A 22,145-nucleotide genomic window follows, 5' to 3' on the forward strand; every position below is an offset into this window, starting at 1 on the left:
GTTCAAGACTAGACTGGACAACATGGTGAAAGCCTGTCTCTACAAAAAACAAAACTTAGCTGGGTGTGGTTGTGCACCTCTGTAGCCCTAGCTGCTCAGGAGACTGAGGTGGGAGGATCACCTGAGCCCTGGAGGTCAAGGCTGCAGTGAGCCATGATTGTGCCACTGCACTCCAGCCTAGGTAACAGAGTGAGACCCTTTATCAAAAAAAAAAAAAAAAAAAAAAAGTGGTGGATTCCTCAAGCTCGGTGTTCTTTTGTTGCCATGCAAACACACTCCACACATGACATCCATCCAGGTCATATCACGTTGCTCCCCTAGACTGGGGTGCAGAAAAACCAATGAATTATGCTATTGCTCATGTTACTTCCTGTGTCATAAGTAATAAAGTCCTTTGCCTTGGACTCAGGAGTCTCATGTATTCTGCCAACATCCATGAAATACTAATAGTCTCTTATTAGCTTGTAGGTAGGGTAAAATAAAATCACAGACTCAATGAGGACTGATTCCAGGGCTGGCCCAGAAAAAGTTAAGATTTATCTTTTACCAAAACATAAAGTAGTGCTTAGAGAAAGATAGGGACTCATCTAAAAAGATACAGAATTCAAGGTGAAGGGGCTCTCACTGCCCAAATCTGGGACAATTTTATTATCAAATAAATGAGGATAGCAACTGATTGTAACCTGTCGAATAAGATAGGAACCCATAAATCCAATCAATCAATGATATTTCTTGTACTGAAAAAATTGTTCAGAGGAAGTTTTAGAAGACATGGGCAAAATGACCTGCTCTCTATATAGAATGGAAGACATTAACTCTTCTTTATTTGTTTCTTTATCAGAATCCATTCCCCATTTCCCAATATTTGTTTGTGGTTCTCCCCTCCTTTCTCAGGCCATGAGTTCTGGATAAAAATCCCTGTTTCAGGGGTAGAACACATAACCCAATCCTGGCCCATAAGGCACATCATGCTTTGGGCCATTTGAACTAGTTCAGGGATGAGTGCTTGACCTCACCAGTCCAATTAAAGTGAATCTCAAAAGTTTTGTGGAGGTAAGGGGGAAACTCTTACTTTTTTCCATTGGGATTGAACTTGATGTGAGTTTGGAGCTTCTCAGCCCTCTTGTCACCATAAAAGAAGAGCCTGAAACTTTTGCAGACACCACGTACAGCCTGTGAATAAAGCTGATGTGTAGATTTGTCGTGTTCTTTGCTGAACATTCTTAATATGTTTATGGAATTTTCAGCCTTATGAATCTTTTCTCTCTAAGGTAGAATTCAGAAAACTTATTTCTCTAGCCCCCTTTGCACCTAGCCGCTAGTCTATTCTAGGTGCCACCAACAAGATGTATTCATGTAGACTTTGAATATAATGTAAGAACATGGAAAAGGAGGCTCTTCTCAAAATCCAAGTTGCTAGAGAAGGTAGCACCAGAAACATCTGGTTGTGAGGGTGTTGGTAGTAGTTTAAAAGTGAAATTACTAGAACAGAAATAACATCAGTGCTGGCAGCAGTATTCATTGCACTGAAGTTGAGTTCCTGACAGCATTGTGAGATACAGAATTTAGTGCTTGGTAGTAGCAATGGCCACAGTTTTCTCAACAGATCAGTTCTCCAGCATTTTTAGGAATATTATTTCTGGAAACTTAGCCTTGAGCCTGATTCTTCTGCCTTTGCAACAATTCTACATTATTGCTATTCTTTCATTAAGCTCTTTTTCTGCTTATTAAGTCAGAGTCAGTTTCTATCATGCACAACTAAAAGTCTTCTCTGATTAAAAAAAATTTTTTAATTGGTACAAGGAGTAGGGTAATGAAAGTAACAGAACCTAAAATATGGCAGAAGAAGGATCTGATTATTACTGACAGAAGCTGATGAACATTCTTATGCAGTTGCAAACATTTGGTCAAAGTGCTGCCTGCTCTGCCTTAAGACATTATATCTATTAGGGATATGGAGTACAAAGAAATTATTGAAAATTCCAGAGTATTAATCCATGCTGGCCACTTCTTACTATTTTAACAGAGTCCTACAAGAGAGATGATTGCCAACAAGAGCTAGCCAGTCTTCTTCAAGCCAGTGGAAAAGATACAGCTTTGCTAAGGGAGGCACTATCTGACTACAACCTCTAATCTAAATTGACTGAGAATCCCATAATTTGAAGTCTGGTGGGTTGAAAAAGCTCAAGTAACAGCACAAACAACAGCCATAAAGCCACAGTGTTAGCAGGAAATTATATCAGTGCCAAAGCTGTTGTCTAGTACCTTCCCTTAAGAGTTTCCTGCCAAATAAAGAGGGAGCACCAACACACAAAGATCAAATTAAAGGAGATGTTTCTCCACCCAAGGTTGCTATTTTAAATTGCCCTGAAGAATCAGCCAATAAACCAAGGGCTAAAGGGCTGGATAGGGCACAGAGAGAGACAATGGGTTAAAAAAAAAAAACCATTTAGGCTTACCTACTCTGTCTAGATAAAATCTTTTGTGGTTACTTACATATGGAAGTCTCTGAAACCAAAGACTGGATCTCTATTACATTTTTGAGGAATGTATATTTCCAAACAATCTATGATAGCCTGTGACTGTTCAACTCTAAAAATAATCCTTGGGGATCAAACTTCTACCAAGAAGAAATGTGCAGTCCCCAGAAAAGACAGCAACCCCAATATCTTTCAGCTGTAGCTAAGGTAATAAGCAGGAAGTATCCTCCCACATCTTGTCCTGATGAGTGGACTGCACATTATTACTCAGAGATCCTGAGTTTCAAGATGGATGCAGTAACTGCCTTTGGACTTTGGACTGTACATAAAGTATATGTATAGAAATAAAAGCAAGTGGATGTTGGGTAACTAAAAGGGTGAACTATGGCAGACATTTTTAATCGGCCACCTAAAAGCCATTCATAACCTTCTTCCTTAATTTTCTTGGCAGCAAAGTTAAAATATTCACCTTCCCAGACACCTCTGCTGCCAAGGGTGGCCATATTACCCAGTTCTGGCCAATACAATCTAAGGAAAATTGCTGGACAAGGCTTCCAGGGAAGGTTTTTAAAAGAAATAGTTTCAGATGACATAAGTAAGGCAATTAACATTTTTCTTTCAAAAATAACAAAAATATTACATACAAAGTTGAAGACTCCTTCACCCTTCAACTCTAGTCTTTTACCCTCCCCTCATCTCCTGTTATCAGTTTAGTGTGCACCTTTCCAGACCTTTTCTCATGCATTTGAATACATACATACCTATACACACACACAGAGAGAGAGATAGAGAGAAAGAAGATATGTAATATTGTTGGGAGTTACCTAAATGGTATCATGCTAAGGGTATAACTCTGCAACTTGCTCTTCTTACTCAGTAACATGTTTTGGAGATATTTCCATACCATACTTGTAGATTGATATGGTTTGGCTCTATGTCCCACCCAAATCTCATCTTGTAGCTCCCATAATTCCCACATGTTGTGGGAGGGACCCAGTAAGAGATGACTGAATCATGGGGGCAGGTCTTTCCTGTGCTGTCCTCATGATAGCGAATGGGTCTCATGAGATCTGTTGGTTTTAACAACTGCAGTTTCTTTGCACAAGCTCTCTCTTTGCCTGCTGCCGTCTATGTAAGATGTGACGTGCTCCTCCTTGCCTTCCACCATGATTGTGAGGCCTCCCCAGCCATGTGGAACTGTAAGTTCAATAAACCTTTTTCTTTTGTAAATTGCCCAGTCTCAGGTATGTCTTTTTCAGCAGTGTGGAAATGAACTAATACATAGATCTTCCTCATTCTCTTTACCAGCTACATAGTTTCCCATAGTATGAATGCTCCACAATGTATTTTTTAAAAATAACTTTAACTTTTATGTTAGATTCAAAGGGTACATGAGTAGGTTTGTTACCTGGGTTTATTGTGTGATGCTGAGGTTTGGGGTGCAATTGATCCCATCACCCAGGTACTGAGCATAGTACCCAATAGTTAGTTTTTCAATCCTTTCCTTCTTTCCTCCCACTGTAGTAGTCCCTAGTGTCTACTGTTGACACCTTTATGTCCATGAGTCCCATTGTTTAACTCCACTTACAAGTGAGAACATGCAGTATTTGGTTTTCTGTTCCTGAGATAATTCACTTAGAATAATGGCCTCTAGCTGCATTCATGTTGCTGCAAAGGACATGATTTTGTTCTTTTTTATGGCTGCATAGCATTCCATGGTGCATATGTACTACATTTTCTTTATGCAATCCACCATTGATAGGTACCTAGGTTGATTCCATGTCTTTGCTATTGTGAATAGTGCTGTGATGAACATACAAGTGCATGTGTCTTTTTGGTAGAAAAATTTGCAAAATTTATTTAGCCATTTTTAAAACTGATGAGCACTTACACTCTGTCTCAGTGTTACTATGTATTATTTACTCTTGGAAACAGCGCTGCAATGAAAATTCTTGTATACAGTTCTTTGTGCACATGTGCAAGTATTTCTCTAAGGCAGATACTCAAAAATGTAATTTCTAGGTCATAGGCTATGCACATTTTTAATTTTTATGTCCTTTTAAAATTTTAATATGTCCTGCCAAATTTCCCTACAAGGTGGCAGTACAAATTTATAGCCTCTCTGCAGGGCGTGAGAATTCTCCACACTCTCACCAACTTACATTTTCTTTTCCAATCTGATGGGTAAGAAATGGCTTCTGGTTGTGTTCATTTGCAGTTTTCTGAGGAGCAGTGAGTTCAGCTTCGTTTATCAGACTCCTCTCTCAATCAGGTCTTTCCTGGAGCCTCAGCAGCTCAGTGGATTCTTATCAATGATCTGCATCATGTAAAGGGATGGACTTCGGAGTGGAAACAACAGAGTCTGGTCCTAATCTCTTTGCTGTAGTAACTCAGGGAAGTTAATGAGAGTGATGAGGAGATTAAAGGAGACAATGCATAGAAGGGATTTAGCCCAGTGCCTGATGCATCAAGAACACCCAATAAATGCTGGCTATCCTCACCAGCCTTATTATTATGATGATGATGACTATTATTATGACTACCATCTCCACTTCTCTCATGTGTGACAGATAGCTGCTGACATAATTTCCAGTGATCCCCACCCCATAGTATTCATGCCGTGTGTAATCCCATACCTTGAGTGGTGGGCTGGACCTAGTGTCTTGTTCCTAACAAACAGAATACACCAAAAGTGATGGAATATCACTTCCATGGTTAGCTTTAAAAAGACTGTGGATTCCATCTTGCTGACATGTTCCTATTGCTGTCTCCCTTCTTGTACACTTTGATGAAGCAAGCAGCCATGCTGGAGAGGCCCACATGGAAAGGAACTGAGGGAACCCTCCAGCCATCAGGAAATGAGGAGCTAAAGCTGGCAGCCTACCAGGAACTGAATCCCACCAACAACCATGTAAGTAAACTTGGAAGCAGATCTTCCCCAATCCAGCCTTCTGATGAGTATAGCCCAGATGAAGCCTTGTGTGCTGCCTGTGAGATACCCTGAAGCACAGGACCCAGCTAAATGATGTCCAGTTTTCACACCTACAGAAATTGTGAGATAATACATGTTGTTACTTCAAGGCACTAAGTGTTGGTGTGATTTGCTACACAGCAACAGCTTACTAATATATGATGTAAATTTCTTAAGGAAACAGGTTCCATTAACCATCTTTCTTAATCAGTAACATAAAATTCAGAATCACTCCCTAAAACCATGGCAATGGTGTATCTTTTACTGAAATAAACCTATTGAATACTTCCCAAAGACAAGATATTGTGAGTTATTTGGAAGAAAAGTGCTTCTGGGTATTTTAATAGCCCTAGCTTGATGTGTCACCTCATGTTTACAAAGGCAGAAGGCAAGGTAGTATGATTATAGGAGCAACGCTTGATGGTCAGACGGACTTGGCTTGGCTTTCAAGTTCAGCTCCTGGTGGCGTCACCTTGGGCTGTGTCACTTCTCCTCTCTGAGCCTCCAATTCCTCAACCACCCAGAGAGGTTAAAAAAGGAAAAGCTCCCCAACCACACATGGTTTTACTGTGGGAATGCAGAGATATATAACATCCAAGCACCTAACCCTCAGCAGGTACAGAAATACTACTCATTTTTTCCAAGACTTTTTTGACCTTGACATTTCTGCCCCTTCACAAACAGACAAAACACTGAAAAACATGTCACTGAAATGGAGAAGGAAAATGCCAGCTCTGTCGAGCTTGTATGAGAAGAAAAGGGAGGTCCAGGCTTTGCCACAGGATTAGGAATAAAAGCAGATGAAAGGTGGGACTCTATCCAGGAACAGGCCGTATTGAAAGGGAATTTTATCAAAATTGCAGTAAACAGTTGCCCTCTCTTCAGCCTTGGAAAGAAAAAAGAGAGAGAGAGATTGGAGTGTTACCTACAAGGGTGAGAGTTGATTTTTCTTTTAACTTTTCAGCTAATCTGTCACCTTCTATGTAATAAAGGGCTGAAAAATAAAAATCTATCCAGCTTTGGAGAGAACTTATCTGGGGTACTTTTACTACTTTTTTCCAAAAGAAATGCTGTGTCTAAAACCACAAACTTGCACCTGTTTCCCTTGACTTAAGGGCCCGAAAAGTGACGTTTTCAATTAGTAGATGCTTTTCTTTCCAAAACTGATCTTAAGACAAAGTTTTATAGCTAAAAAATTAATTTTCTTTCACTGCCCCAAAACCAAAAGATAAGACAAAAGAAGGAAAAGAAGAAAGAAAAAAGAAAGAAAGAAAGAAAGAAAGACCCTCTGTTTCTTCCCCCTTCTACTAAATTTTTCACTGTAAATGTTCAAGCTTTTCCTCTGCTAGGAGCACAAATCCTTTGAAATAGGAGTGAGAAACAGCCCAGGCCAATTCTGGCTGTGGCCCAGAGACAAGGCTCATCTGAGATGGCTCAGGAAGGGCTGGCAGTGATGGCTTGAGTTTCAGTTTGGCCAAAGCCCGCTTCTGTCTGCTCTCCTCCCTATCCAGAGGAGCAAATGCTGTCTAGACAGTCCAGCCCATAGATTATTTCCACTTCAGCTCCACTCCTTCACCTGCTCATGAGCGGCAAGAACTCATTGGTAAGAAGATCCTTGGATTCTCCGCATACAAGATGACCAGCAGGGAGAGGATGGGCGGGATGGGAAGGACCTATCTTTTGTGCTATGAAAAGCGGGCACAGACAATGAATGACTGTATGAGTCATTCCTACCCTCCAGGCCCTCTTTGAGTGAAGGCAGCTTTGAAAACCAATCGGGCAGGTGACTTTTTTAAAATGGGGAAATGGGACAGGCAGGCATGGTGGCTCACACCTGTAATCCCAGCACTTCGGGAGGCCGAGGAGGGCAGATCACCTGAGCCCAGGAGTTTGAGACCAGCCTGGCCAACATGGTGAAACCCCATCTCTACAAAAAAAAAAAAATTACAAAAATTAGCTGGGTGTGGTGGCGCACGCCTGTACTCCCAGGTACTCTGGAGGCTGAGGCAGGAGGATCACTTGAGCTCAGGACTTCAAGGCTGCAGCAAACCCTGACCATGACACTGCACTCCAGCCTGGGTGACAGAGTGAGACCCTGTCTCAAAAAAAAAAACAAAAAAAACAAATAGGGGGACAGGTTTAAGGAGTCGCAGTTGTATGTGCTCTTTTTCCTCTATTTTCCATCCAAACAATGTAATCAATCCAATCCAACAAGATTGACATTCTTACCCCAGAAGTGGAAGAGACAGAGTTCCTCCCCACCAGGCACCAGAGCAGGGCCCAGCGCTCTGAGTGGGGCGGCTAAGTTAGCAAATAAAAATACAGGCTATCCAGTTAAATTTGAATTTCAGATAAATAACTTTTTTCTACTAAAAAATTTTTTTCAATTATCTGAAAGTAGAATGTCACTGGGCATCCTGTATTTTATCCAGCAGCCCTGCCCATGGGGAGTTTGACTCTGGGAGGAGAGACCTGAAGCTACAGAGCGAGAGGTGACTCCCAGAGGCTTCCAGGCAGTCAACAGTCCAGGGAGCACAGCAAGACCCAGAGCCTGTAGTGCCCATGGTGGGAGTATATGTCCCACAGTGATGGTGCCAGTAGTGACATGTGAAAGGGACCATCACTGGGCAGGGTCTGCCTTCTGCCTCAGTTTCCCCCTTCCTGCCGAAAGGCCGTCTCCAGCTTTCCTCTTGATCCTGAGAGCTACCTGATAATCATCCATGAGATTCCTTCCATTATTATGCATTCTTCACTGCAGTTTTCCCAAGTGTATCCTCCTTCCCAGTTCCCAGGCCAGTCCCAGCACAGCGGTGAGGGTCAGAATCCCCACCTTGACCCAAATCCCTTAAAAAGGGCTGGCCACATCCCCAGGAGGCCAGTTCTCAGGAATACAGGCGGCAGCTCTGCTTGCTCTTGACCTTGGAGAACTCGGCCATGCTGTAGAAATCTTTCTACTTGGCCCTGGCCACCTTCCTCTCTGCTGTTCGTGGGCTCATGGGAGAGGGGCCATTTGTCAGGTGGATTTTAGTGCACCTCTGGGGCTGCTGTCCCAGTGCCCACTGCTTTTTATTTGCCTCCGAAGGCTGGTGCTGGCAGGGGCAGGAGTAGGCTTTGCACTCCATTTTTTCCCAATAAAGAGTCCCTCGAGTCCTCTTTCAGCTCAACTGAGAGTGGGTCGATGGAGCCACTTCCTAAAGAATCCTGAGGGGCACGGAGCAGGGGACACAGCACCTGCCAAATATGAGAGAAGGCGGTGGGGCCTGCCCTTGTGGCTCATTCCTAGAGGCCCCACCCCAGTCGGCCCAGGAACGCACCCTCTACCCGGTGACTCTGACCCTCCATCCCTCCTTCACTGTTTCCTGCATACCACGCTATTTAAAAAGAAGGGGCCTACACTGTGGCACACGTCTGTGGTCCCAGCTACTTGGGAGGCTGAAGCGGGAGGATTGTCTGGGCCCAGGAGTTGGGGGCTGTAGTCAGCCTTAATTGCCCACTGCACTCCAGCCTGGGAAAATAAAAAAAAAATAAAAATAAAAATTTTTAAAAAAGGGATTTGGAACAGTACAAATTCAGGTTTGAACCCTGGCTCTACCTCTCCCTGGCAGTAAGATCTCAATGGCTATACCTTGATGAACCTCAGCCTCCTCATCGTCAAATGGGGTAATAAATGAATCTAGTTCATGGGGCGTGGGTATGGGTGCAGTGAAATGACACAAGTGAGGTGCTTAAACAGTGCAGAGGGCACTCCTAGCCTTCCCTCATGCCCCCTCCTGCACCATAGGAGTCTTACTCTATCCCTGGAGATAGAGTTTGCTAAGTGTGCCAGAGACAGTGGTCTTGTCCTCCCCATCCTGACCAGAAACTCACATACAAGTGTGTCTACAGGATGCCACAGAGAGCAGCCTCAACCAGTGCTGGGTGACGGTGAATCATAATAACAATAAAAGCTGATCCCATTTATTTAGTGTCTTTATGTCCCAGGAACTGCAGAGGGGATAAATCAATAACAAAACCCCTTGCTTTCATGAAGTTTACATGTTTTATCTGTCAATCCTCACATTTGCCCTAGGAAATAAGTACCATTGGTGGGTTCATTTTACAGAGTAGGACACTGAGGCTCAGAGAGGGTGAGTGACTTGCCCAAGGCCACCCAGCTCAGTTAGTAAACTGGGATGCAAACCCAGGGACTCCAAAGCCTATCCCTTTATGACTGCTTGGTTTCACTTAAGCCTCAGGAGAAGGCTGTGAAGTTGGTTCCATTTTGCCAGTGATGAAGGAAAGAGGCTCAGTCAGGTGAAGTCACTTGCCCCAAGTCACCAGGTAGGTCAGGCACAGAGCTTTCAGTGAATGCCAGTGTGTCTGACTCCACAAGGCCATGGGCCCCTCATCTTACCACTAGAAGGGCCACCTCTCAGCATCCCTGGAGGAAGCCAGCAGAGCATGGAGCTGAGGGTCCCTCAAAACACTCTCATTGAAAGAGATCCCAATCCAACTCAGCGGCATTGAGAAAGGCAGCTGCACACCTTAGAGGAGCCTCCTCCTCCAGACATGGCCAGCTCCCGGGACCACCAGGGAGCCCGCCCAGGAGGGAGATGCTGACTTTTTCCAGCCACATTTCTAGTTCTCCCCGCTCCTTCCTTTTGGGAGGCCAATGGGCACCACGTGGACCACAGCCCCGCCCTGCTCAGCCCAGGCATGAAGCCTCAGGAAGCCCAGCCCATCGGAGTACTTGCTCAGTGGCTCCTGCCCGAGTCCATATCTGCTGGAAGAAAGCCGCCGCTCCCCCGAGCTCCCCTCTGGGCACCCCCTAACAGCACCTGCCAACCAATGAAGTGACGTCTGGAGCCCACTCTCCACAGCCCCTACTCAAAGCTTCCCAAAATGATTTTTCCCTTCTGGAAAGCTGTTTTTTGTTTGTTTGTTTGTTTGATTGATTGATTGACTGATTGATTTTGAGACAGGGTCTCACTCTGTCACCCAGGCTGGAGTACAGTGGCGCCATCTCGGCTCACTGCAACCATCGCCTCCTGGGTTCAAGCAATCCTCCCACCTCAGCCTCCCAAGTAGCTGGGATTGCAGACACACAGCGACTCTCCTGGCTAATTTTTGTATTTTCTGTAGAGACGGGGTTTCACCACGTTGCGCAGGCTGGTCTCAAACTCCTGGATTCAAGCTATCCACCCGCCCCAGCCTCCCAACATGCTGGGATTACAGGCGTGAGCCACTGCGCCTGGCCTAGAAAGCTCTTTTTCTTTTTTTTTTAACCCAAACTACATTTTTAATTTTCCCCTGCCAGCACCCCAGCCTACTGCACACATTAGAAACATTGGTAGGAATAGTAGTTTCTCCAGCCCTGTCCTACATGGCTTCAGAGCTAAGGTGGGAATTCCTGCTTAATGGAAGAGGCTAGTGCAAACTTGGCTCAATTTTTACCATATTTGCTACCTCTAGCTATTAGAATTAGACATACCTGGGTGTACATACAAGCACTGTCCTTGCACATGGTGATTAAATTAGGGGTGGGCTATTTTAATAATTTGTTAACTAGTTCTCCTGTGTATTACTCAGGAATTTTAACTGTAAGTGACAGAAATCCAACTCAACTAGGTTCAAGAGGGGAAAAAAAAGGAGAGGTGGGATTTAGGTACTTATTGGATCATGAAACTCAAGAGTCCTGGATAGTATTAGTTTCAACTTCAGGCACAGCTGGATCCAGGAGCTCAAACAAAGTCAAGCCTCAGTCTCTTACCCCATCTCTGTGTTTTTTTCTGTGTTAGCTTCTGTTATGCGCTGAATTGTGCTCCTCCCACCTCCAGTATGTTGAAATCCTAACCCCGGGTACTTCAGATGTAACTATATTTTCTGACAGGGTCTTTAAAGAGGTAATTAAGGTTAAGTGAGGTCATTAGGTGGACCTTAATCCATTATGAGTTGTGTATGGCCGGGGCACAGTGGCTCACGTCTGTAATCCCAGCACTTTGGGAGGCCAAGGCAGGCGGATCACAGGGTCAGGAGTTCCAGACCAGCCTGGCCAATAAGGTGAAAGCCAGTCCCTACTAAAAATACAAAAATTAGCTGGGCATGGTGGCTTGTGCCTGTAGTCCCAGCTACTCGGGGGGCTGAGGCAGGAGAATCACTTGAACCAGGAGGTGAAGGTTGCAGTGAGCCGAGATCAGGTCACTGCACTCCAGCCTGGGGACAGAGTGAGAGACTCCATCCCAAAAGAAAAAAAAAAAAAAAGGAGAAGAAGAAAAGGAGGAGATTGGGACACAGACACACACACATACAGAGGGAAGACCATGTAAAGACACCAGAAGAAGACAGCCACCCATCTACAAGCCGAAGAGAAGCCTCAGAAGAAATCAACCCTGCTGACACTTTGATCTTGGACTTAGCCTCCAGAATTGTGGGGAAATAAATTTCTGTTGTTTAAGCTCCCCAGTCTGTGATACTTTGCTATGGCTGCCCAAGGAAACTAATGCAACTTTGTTGTCAAGCAACCTGTCTTCACATGGTGACAGCATGGCCCCTGCAGCTCCTGGTGGAGATACCCAGCTCAGCAACCTCAGGAGACAGTCTCTTTTCTGCAACAAGTCTAACAAAAATCTCAGAACTGAGTCTCATCGGTCGGCCTCTGGTCACATGCACCCTCCTGAGCCAGTCCCTGCAGCCAGGGGGATGGAAGAGGCTGATTGGCCAGACCTGAGTCATGTGCCACCCCTCAAGCAGTCAGCATCAGTGAAAACACCAGGCCTCAGAACAAAGGAGGTTGTCTCCTGGGGAAGAGCAGGTGCTAGGGGGCTGAAACAGCAGGTGTCCACTTTCCCCTGCCTCTAATCTTCCCCCACCTCTCAAGCCATTCTCTACTGAGCTGCCTGGGAGCTCTTCCTTTTTTTTTCCTTCTTTTTTTTGTTTTGTTTTCGTTTTCTTTGTTGTTGTTTTAGAGATGGAATCTCACTCTGTCACCCAGGCTGGAGTGCAGTGGTGCCATCTCGGCTCTCTGCAACCTCTGCCTCCTGGGATCAAGCGATTCTCCCTCCTTAGCCTCCCGAGTAGCTGGCATTACGGGCACCCACAATCATGCCTGGCTAATTCTTGTATTTTTGTAGAGACGGGGTTTCGCCATGTTGGCCAGGCTAGTCTTGAACTCCTGACCTCAGGTGATCCACCAGCCTTGGCCTCCCAAAGTGCTGAAATTACAGGCGTGAGCCACTGCACCCCGCTGAGAGCTCTTTCTTCATTTAAAATCGGACTACCCAAGCCACTCCTTCAAGAAAGGATCAGAGTCTGGCCCTGCCGGCCTCTCCTCCACTTCCCCTCTCAGGAAACCTCCACCCCTTGCCACTCTTGGCACGTGACAGGCACTTTCAGCTGTTGGGGCATCTTGCTGTGGCCTCCTCTACCTCTAAAACTTCTCTACTTCCTCCTCAAGGCCCACGTCCAACATCACTCTCTCTGGGAACCCTTCCCTTTTGAGGCATAGCCGCCTCGTTTCCAAAGTAGACCTGGATACCATGACGATAAAAAGCTGGACACACTGCCTCGGTGCAGATCTGCTGGCTGTGTGATCTTGGGTAAGTTACTTACATCTCTGTTCCTCCATCTGCTTAGTACCTAGTCCCCAGGGCTGTTGAGAGAAACAAATGATTAATACATGAAAAGCACTTAGAACCGTGTCTGGTACATGGAAAATGCCTAGTAAGCGTTAGCTGTTATTACCTCATGTTTGAACACACCTCTGCTGGGAATTATCTGTTGGCCCATCTGTTTCCCTTATCAAGTCTGCACGCTCCTCTAAAGGAGGGCATCTTCGCCAGCTCAGGCTGCTGTAACAAAATACCAGAAACCGGGTGGCTTATAAATAATAGAAATGTATTTCTCACAGTTCTGGAGGCTGGAAGTCTGAAATCACGGTGCCAGCATGATCAGGTTCTGGTGAGGGCCCTCTTCTGGGTTAAGGCTGACTTCTTCTTGTGTCCTCACATGGTGGAAAGAGAGCCAGGGAGCTCTTTTCAGTCTCTTTTTTAAGGGCACTAATCCCATTCACAAGGGATCCACCTTCAAGACCTACTTACCTCCCAAAGACCCCACCTCCAAATACCATCACTTTGGGAATTAGATTTCAACACGGGAATTTGGCCGGGGACACAAGGCTCAGTCCATGGCAGAAAGAGAGCTTATTCATCACACTGGCTGCATGGTACTTAGGAGGTATGAGGTGTGCTGTATCCCCAGCACAGAGAAGGTGCTCAGAATTTCATAGCTTTCAATAAGTGAATGAGTGAGTGAGCGATTAAGCGAGTGAGTGAATGAACATAGAGGAAGAGTCTTGGACAACAGATGGAACAACCTTCTCCCTTGATCTGCGCAAACCTCCACCTGTCCCTGAAACAGCCCTCAACCCTGAGCCAACCCCACCCCTTTCTCCTCGAAACCATCTTCCTCTTAGTCCCTCCTCCTACTTCATTCAGCCGACATTCAAGTGCAAACCACCGGGAAAACCCAAAGAACGTTCATGGGATAAATCACCCAATTACTAATCAGGTCCATCCGTCCACCATTAACCACTATTTTCCCTGCAAAAAGTAAACACGCCTCCTCCCCACAGCCTGACACGAGGGCCATTAAACCCAGGAAGGGCGTGTCTCCACAGCAGCCCAGAAACAACTTGAAAGTGGAAAAATACGGTGGACTCGGTGATTCAGTGGTCGTTCAGATATAGCCAAAATGTTTGGTTTCAGCCTTGACGGAAGCCATTGCCCTCCTATTTCGTCTCCTCTAAGATCGGAGAGTGTGGACTTTGATAAGACGTCCTTCTCAGGTCCGACAGCTTTGTGCTTTCCCGGATGAGCTTGTCAAGCACTTGAGTTTCTTTCAGACTTGGCTCCTGCCCTGGGCTAGGCATGGGGGTGCCCAGAGATTCTGGCGCAAGGCAGGTGAATCTGAACAGTGCTCCCCAAAGGAAGCCGAGGTGGTGCTTCAGAAACCAGGGAGCGCAGCCCCCATACTTGGGCGACACATTTGGCTCTGGCTTCTGGCAGCTAAGGCAGAAAGAGAAGCACATGGGGTTGCATAGTTTTCATTTTCCAACAACAGAAAGCATGTTCAGACCTCGGCAGAGACAACATTTTTCCTGGAACCAGGCTCTAGAAGGAATGTATCGGGGCCCTGCGGGGTTAAGAGCACCAGGTGACAGAGCAGATGAGTCCTGCCCCTGTCCCTGCATTCGTTCGTTCATTCATTCAAGCAACCAACACCTGTTGAACCCTCATGCTGTGTCTGGCCTCACCTGGGGCCACAGAGAATGCCTGACACAGTCCCTGCTACTCAAGGTTTCCAATTCTCCCCCTCTACCTTCAGCCCCACACCCCCACTCCTCAGTTGATCACACCCATCCTCCCATCAGGAGCAACCATGACAGCAGTGTTACCCCAAGTGCTGGATTAGACTTCCTCCCTCATTTCTGGAATGTAACCATCTGGAGAGGAGATGGGGGCCGGGAGCTGCCTAGGTCCCCTCCTGCCCCCAGCAGCCAGCCTCCCACTTCCTCTTTGCTAACAGAACCCCAAGTGTTAGCAGGTGCCCTAGGGGATGCACGCTTGATCTAAGAAAGCCAGGCACTCCCATTCCCCTTCATTGACTGATCCTTTCCCTTTCCTTATAGCTAGAGATGGTCATGTAATCCAGTTCTGGTCAAAGACACGCCTGGACTCTGCAGAACCTCTGTTCTTCTTAGTAAATGAGGAGCCCCTACTTTCTGCCTCGAACACAGCGTCCGAAGACATGATGATCCAAGCTGTGGTAGCCTCTTGACTGTGAGGGGATATGTCTGGACTCTTCAAGGAAATACATTGAGGACAGCAGAATAAAGAGAAAGAGAGAGTTTGATGCTAACTTCAAGTCATTGGACCAACCTGGGATTGACTGCCGGCCTGCAGATATCTAGTATAAGATGTTGGCTGTGTGCCATGGCCCATGCCTGTAATCCCAGCACTTTGGGTTGGGAGACCGAGGCAGGTGGATCACGAGGTCAAGAGATCGAGACCATCCTGGCCAACAAGGTGAAACCCTGTCTCTACTAAAATACAAAATATTAGCCAAGCATGGTCACGTGGGCCTGTAGTCCCAGCTACTCGGGAAGCTGAGGCAGAGGAATCGCTTGAACCCAGGAGGCGGAGGTTGCAGTGAGCCGAGATCACAGCACTGCACTCCAGCCTGGCAACAGAGCAAGACTCTGTTTAAAAAAAAAAGATGTCTTGATTGTATAGGCCTCTGTTAGCTGGTTAATCCTATTTGCTTACAGCAGAATGCATCCCAATGAATACAACAGGTATACGTGCAATGAAAGAGAGTTCAGTCCTAGGGAGACTGCAAGGGGGAAAAAGTAGGCTCTGGGGTAAAATAATTAAATAATTCTTCCTTTCATGGTGGTCATGAAATGGTAGCTAACATTTATTTGCTTTGTGTTTTTTTTTTTTTCTTTGTGAAGCACCTGTCTGCTATTGGTGCTATATGTTTTTGAAAATTCATTTTTACCTCTCCAAGCCCATTTCCTCACTGGATTCATGGAAAGATGAAGGAGAGACTGCATGTGAAAAGGGTGGACATACTTTCTGTCTGGCTGGCTGCCTGTCTTGTTCACTGCACTTTCCCAGCACTAGATAAAGTTTTTTTTATTTTGTTGTTTTATTTTTAGAGACAGGGTCCCACCATGTCATCAAGGTTGGAGTGCAGTGGCACAATCACAGCTCACTGTAACCTCAAATTCCTGGGCTTAAGTGATCCTCTCGCCTCAGCCACCTGTGTGGCTGAGACTACAGGGACACACTACCACTCCAGGCTATTTTTTAAAATTTTTTGTCAAGACAAGATCTCGATATGTTACCCCAGCTGGTCTCTAACTCCTGGCTTCAAGCAATCCCTCCCACCTCAGCCTCTCAAAGCACTGGGATTACAGGCATGAGCCATCCCTAGTTAAAATTTGGTAAAGAATAAAGCTCTTTCCCTCCGGCTTATAAAATCAGGACTCAGTAGTTATTGCCAAATGTGCCCCATTGGTTAATTTGGATCTTTCCCCATTCCTTGCATGTCCATTGGCCATTCGGGCTTCATTCCTAGAATATATATTTTTTGGGGGAGATGGGGTGGTGGGGATGGAGTGTTGGTCTGTCACCCAAGCTGGAGTGCAGTGGTGTGATCTCGGCTGACTGCAACCTCCGCCCCCTGGGTTCAAGCAATTCTCCTGCCTCAGCCTCCCAAATAGCTGGGACTACAGGTGCCCACCACCACGCCCGGCTCATTTTCGTGTTTTTAGAAGAGACGGGGTTTCACCATGTTGGCCAGGCTGGTCTCAAACTCCTGACCTCAGGTGATCTGCCTGCCTCGGCCACCACACCCGGCCCACTCTTAGAATATTTAATGAAGATTATCTTGATAAATGTTATCAAAACATTCAATTGACAAACACCAAATCAGTGTTTTTATTTATTTATTTATTTTTTGCTTGTTCCAAAGTACTTTCTGTATATATGATTGCACTGCCTAAGTGTTGTTCTCTCTTTGCATATGAGAAAACGAAAGCTTAGAGAGGTCAACTGACTTTCCCAAGGTCATTTGCTGATAATAGAATCAAAGGACAAGAGGCCAGGCTCTCTTGTGCTGAGCCCTGGCCTGGCTCCCCACTGCCTTGGGGTGGTGGGGTAGGGCCTAGTGGGGAGGTGATGCTGAAGGTGGTGTGGGTGATGGATGGCAGTGCCGCAGGGCTCTTCTTTAAGGAGGCCCACCCCTGCCTTTCACTTCCTGCTCCAGCTCCACATGCCCTGTCATTTAAGCCTCAGCACTTTGAGAGGCCTCGAAGGCCGACCCCGTGACTCCCCCAGAAATGCCTGTGCTTCCTTCCCTGTCATCTCAATGCAGAGAGCGCTCACCTCAGCAAGTTCAGACTGTGCAGGCTCGGGAGGACCTTCCGCTCAGCCAGGAGCATGGCTGGTTTGTCTCTGGATCCTCAGCACGCAGCGGGCAGCCCAGAGCTGGGCAGGGCGTTGCTGCTCCATGCGCTCTGCACTGACTTGATGACGTAGAGAGAGAGAAGGCCGCCTGTTTCCCAGGTGGAGAAACTGCATGGGGAGAACATTTTTTTCTTAGACACCTGGGGAATGAAGCGTTAACTAAGGTGATACAACTTGGAGTCCGGGAAAGGGGATTTGGGCAGAGGCTGTGGAGGGGCCTGTGGGGTGGAGAAGGCTGCAATGATCCCAGGTCCCCAGGAAAGAGTGGATCCACCTGTGTGCAGACTTTCCCCACCCTAGGAAAACAGGATGCAGGCCTTACCTCCTGTCTTTGAGCCAAAAGGAGGGAGAGCCACCACCTGAGTGTCCCATATGAGACTGCTTTGCCCCAGGAAGGGGGAAAATCCTATGTCACTGCCAAGAAGGTCCAGCTAGCTTCAGTAGAGAAATCATGACATCCAGTGGACATATGTGTCATCCCCAGGCTCAGGCAATGGCCTCCAGCCAGGAGGCCTTCTAGGGCTGGGCCAACAAGGCACTGTGGAGTGAGCGCTGGGAGGCTGAGTCTGAATCCTGATTTTGCCTCTTAGCTACGTGACTTGGGTAAGTCTCTTCCCCTCGCTGGGGCTCTGTTTCCTCCACTGAAGTGGAGAGTGTCTAAAAGCATGTTTGTGAACTGTGATGCAAATAGGTTCTCCCATGATCAGAAGCTGTGTTTCTTGCTAGGAGTAGTTTCAAGGCAGTGCTACCTAGGAGAGGGAGGGCAAGCTTGAATGATGAAGCACGTAACCATCTCCCCGGGCACTCCTGCACAAATGGCTCGCAGCTGCTCCCAACCCTACAGGCTGTTGCCAGGATAAGATGAGACCTCTTGTGGGTGCACAGGCAACGGCACTCCTGAAATATGGGGATGCAGATGTTCCCACCCTGGGACACAGGATGAAAGCGCTGGGTGTCAGCGCCTGTGAAAACCTGCAGAGGGCCTCAAGGGATCCGCATTTCCTGAGCGGGGCTCCTGCAGACCTCCCACTACATCCAGGCTGACATCTCACGGGGCTCCAGGGCCAGCACCAGACAGAGGTCAAGGCCACCGTTTGGTAGAGCAGTCATCAGACCCAGGGAGCCAGGCTGGAGAGAAGGGGCAGAGCCAGAAGAGAGCCCCCCATCCCCCGCATCCCACCTCCACCACCCAGAGAGGGAGGAGGAAACCTGAATTACAAACCCAAATCAGAGCTTAAATCCCTGAGTTCCAGCCAGAAGAGAACTGGATTAAGCAGCCTGTGGTGAGGCACATGGAGTGGGTGGGAAACCAGAGTTAACTGCGTTCTGGACACAAAGTTGCATTTTTGCACACCTGAGTTTGTGACTGAGAAATAAATATTCTCTGTTTAAGCAAAGCATCTGGACATAGTAGGCCCTCAGGAGAGCGTGCCTGCCTTTCTGTTTCCTTTCTGTCCATGAAATGAGCTCCAGATGGTGCAGAACCCCGTAGGTCCACCTCCCACTCCCAGCAGGTCTGCATGTGAGAAGGTGCTGAGCCATTCATCCAGTTCACCTTGATTTCCCAGAAGAAAAGGAATGTGTGTGACCCCTCTGAGGTGAGCCCAGTCTGGGCATGAGACTAGTTCTCAACATGAACAATAACTTTGTTGTGCACCTACTATGTGCTGAGCACTTTACAGGCAGCGTCTCATCCCCCAGCAAACCTGAAGGGAAGTGTCATCCCCCACACTGACTTTACCCCCTTTGAGGGGGTGTAATGTTCTTTCAAGCTGCATACGCTTAGGAAGTTGAGGCACTGGAGTTTGAGCCTGGTTTCTGGCCACTTTCTCCCAATAAGGACTCTGGGCTTAGCCATATTCACTGAACCCTGGCTGTGTGCAGGACCTCATGTTGCCACTTCACAGTAAAACAGGAAAAGTTAACATTTACTCAACAAGTCTTGCATGCCAGACACAGGCTCTGTGCTTTCTATACATTCTTTTATTTATTCCTCACAAAATTCCTGTGATCTCCTCTTTCCTCCCATCTTGCAGATGAGGACCCTGAGGCTCATGGAAGTTACAGAACTCACCTGGGGCCAGTCAACCACTCAGCAGCAGGGCCGGGTCTGCCCCAGGTCTGTGTAGTGTCAACGTCCTCACTCTTGGCCACTCTGTGATTCTAGGAGAGAAGCCATGCTGTAAAAGATTCCAGGTCATGCCTTGACAGGTTACAGTGACCACATCCAGGAGATCTTTAAGGCCTTAATTGTGCCCTTCAGTTCCTGTCATCATCATTATCATTATCTCCACCACCACCATCATCATCATCTACATGCCTGAAACTGGCGTATTCTTATGCCATGAACTGTAAAATATTTCATTTATTTTCCCTACTTTAACCAGCCTTGTGACCTTGTTCAAGTAACCCCACCTCTCTAAGCCTCAGTGTTCTCATGCATGAAATGGGGCCTGTAAATTCCATTTGCAAAAGGACAGTGAGCTGTTGTTTTCATCCCCAATCCCTCTCCTCCCTGAACTCCCTCCCTGAACTCCCTCTCCTTCCTCCGTGAAGTGCCCTCCGCCCCCAGGGCCTGGATTCCGGCCACCAGCTCTCCTGCCCCGGCTTTTAACGTTGGTCCCTGCAACAGGCCAGAACATCTGCCTGTGAACGCCATGGAACTCTGCCCCTGCGCTGGGGTCCTGCCAGCAAAGAGTTTAAACAAACAGAACTGGGCAGAAACGAGATGGTCCGCCGGTTGTAAAGGGTCGCACCTCATGCGCACACGCTCGGGTTTCATGATAATCCGAGTGATGGTTCTCCTGAGGAGGATTAGGAAGAAAACGTTAGGGGGCTCTGCGGGGAGCAAGAAAAAGTGGTTGTGTACCCAAGACAAACACTGCCAAGAAAGTGGCCTTTGCTGACCAATAAACCAAAGTGTGGGAGGGGGTGGGATTGGGGTACTGGAGGAAAGGAAAATTTGGGGCTCTGTCCAACTCTTCTAGTGCCTAAGTCAGACCTTCACCAGCAGAAGACCGTTCCACTGAATGTGTGGAGAGAGATTACAGCAACCCCAAACCACTGTGGTCAGAGGCTGGCGGGAGCTCCTGCATGTGGGGGAGGAGCAGCAAGCCCATGTGCCCTCCAGAGCCAGGCAGGTAAGCCAGGAGGGGCGCAAGGGACACCGCAGAGCACACACAGTGAGCCACAGCAAATGACACCGGCCTCAGCACTGGGAAGGTATTAGGGAGTGGTGGGGACTGCATCCAGCTGGAGGAACACACCCCACCCAAAGCAGGCACCTGGGACTGAGCTGCAGCTCCAGCCGGTCTCTGCCAGGCAGGAATGTAGGCCCAGTGGTGCCAATCTTCTCTGATTTTTTTTTTTTCAAGAGAAGCAGAAAAGAACAAATTTTGTTTTTTGATGTGCAGGTTCTCAATTTTTAAACATTGGCAATGAGTTCAAATGGGTTTTGAAATACTATGTGGGCCAAGCAAAATATATCTGTTAGCCAGATTTGACTCACAGGCCACTGGTTTGCAATTTTCTGAAGTTTTGGTACCGTAATAAAAGCAATGGGTCCTGCCTGGATTCAAACACCAGTTCTCCCATCTGCTGGCTGGGCAACCTTGGGCAAGTCCTCTAGCCTCTCCAGGCCTCAGTTGCTCCATCTGTAAAATGGGGATAATAGTAGTGTCTACTTGATATGATATTTGAGAAAACTTCATGAAATCATGTCATGGAAATTCCTTGATATCTCTCTCTCTCTCTGGAAATGTTAGCTTTATTACTAATGCACCCTCTGCAGGCTCCCTGGGGGGATGGAAGATAAAAACAGCGGCAACGGGCAAAAACGGAGGTGAGGAAAATGGACCAAGCAGGCAGAACAGAGCCAAACCAGAAAACGCCGGCCAAGCTTTCCCTTACTTGCTGTGTCAGAATGGCCCTTCAGGGATGATTGGCACAAGCTGACATCAAATTGACAAGAAAAGATTGGGCAGTGGCCTGAAGAGTGGCCCTCCAGTATCTGTCCACCTCTTTCCAAAATAGCAACAGGCGACCTTGGGAGACCTTTTGGATTGCAGCAGGAAGAAAGTCAGTTACAGAGGGTGTCCTAGAGGAGGTAAAAGGATGCCTCCGGTCTGTGGCTCAGCCACTGCCCCACTCTGTGACTTCAGCCAAGTCATTTCATCTGCCTCTGAGACTCCACTTACCCATCTGTAAAATAGGTTGACAACAGCTGCCTCTCAGGATGCTGGTGGTGATTAGCGATCACGCAGTATAGGTAGGGTCTGGTACAGAATTCATGTTCGACAAGTGGGAGCTGCCGTTATTGGCTGTCGTTTAGTTATTTTTATGAATGAGGCAATAGAGGTGCTTGTCTGACCAGCATCCGCTGACCTCTCTTCAAGTAACTGCCCCGTTTGCCTCTAAAGAACCATTCCTCTCCTGTTCCCCACCAAATGGTTCCGTTGGTGTTGGCTCCTCCCCAGGCTCCAGGGACAGGCGTGTGAACCCGGCACAGCTAATGAGAATAGCGTAGTATCCCAGGCCAATGGGAATCAGATCCAGGACTTGCATTCAAACCATGAGGGAAGAGAAGCTTTCCCTTTCCACCAGATCTGTTCTAGTGAGGAGTAGGCCGGAGCTGCTGGCAGCTTTCTCACTGCCACATGGGAAGAGCCTGTCTGAGAATGATATCAA

General features: G+C 47.1%; 2 long non-coding RNA genes across 6 annotated transcripts in view, besides 1 other annotated feature; both read right to left on the reverse strand.

Moving 5' to 3' along the window:
* The window catches only part of LOC105377725 (uncharacterized), a 41,656-nt gene extending 34,076 nt beyond the window's left edge, over window positions 1-7,580 (reverse strand). For 2 of the 3 annotated variants that reach the window (XR_007059050.1, XR_007059049.1), the window contains exon 1: window positions 4,643-7,297. This is a non-coding gene — a long non-coding RNA (uncharacterized LOC105377725). Of the gene's footprint in view, window positions 1-4,642 lie in introns of all 3 variants that reach the window. The other variant, XR_001742985.3, reaches the window with a different exon arrangement.
* Window positions 6,978-7,272: a silencer, noted in NCBI's record as "tiled region #9260; K562 Repressive non-DNase unmatched - State 21:Repr". NCBI's record gives its function as "represses a minimal TATA promoter and a strong SV40 promoter by Sharpr-MPRA in K562 cells {active_cell/tissue: K562}" and the evidence as "EXISTENCE:reporter gene assay evidence [ECO:0000049][PMID:27701403]".
* A 3,885-nt stretch (window positions 7,581-11,465) lies between the features above and the next one.
* LOC107986476 (uncharacterized) lies at window positions 11,466-19,991 on the reverse strand. Of its 3 annotated transcripts, none has more exons than XR_007059052.1 (3): window positions 17,782-19,991; window positions 17,379-17,567; window positions 11,466-14,492 (listed from the first exon to the last, which is right to left on the reverse strand). It is a non-coding gene; the product is annotated as an uncharacterized LOC107986476 (long non-coding RNA). The 3 variants fall into 3 exon arrangements; XR_007059053.1 differs by having other exon boundaries at window positions 19,534-19,989; XR_001742987.2 differs by having other exon boundaries at window positions 12,634-13,078; window positions 13,171-13,277; window positions 17,379-19,985.
* Window positions 19,992-22,145: the final 2,154 nt, after the last annotated feature.

The sequence above is a fragment of the Homo sapiens genome, chromosome 5, assembly GCF_000001405.40.
Source record: "Homo sapiens chromosome 5, GRCh38.p14 Primary Assembly".
Lineage (NCBI taxonomy): Eukaryota > Metazoa > Chordata > Mammalia > Primates > Hominidae > Homo > Homo sapiens.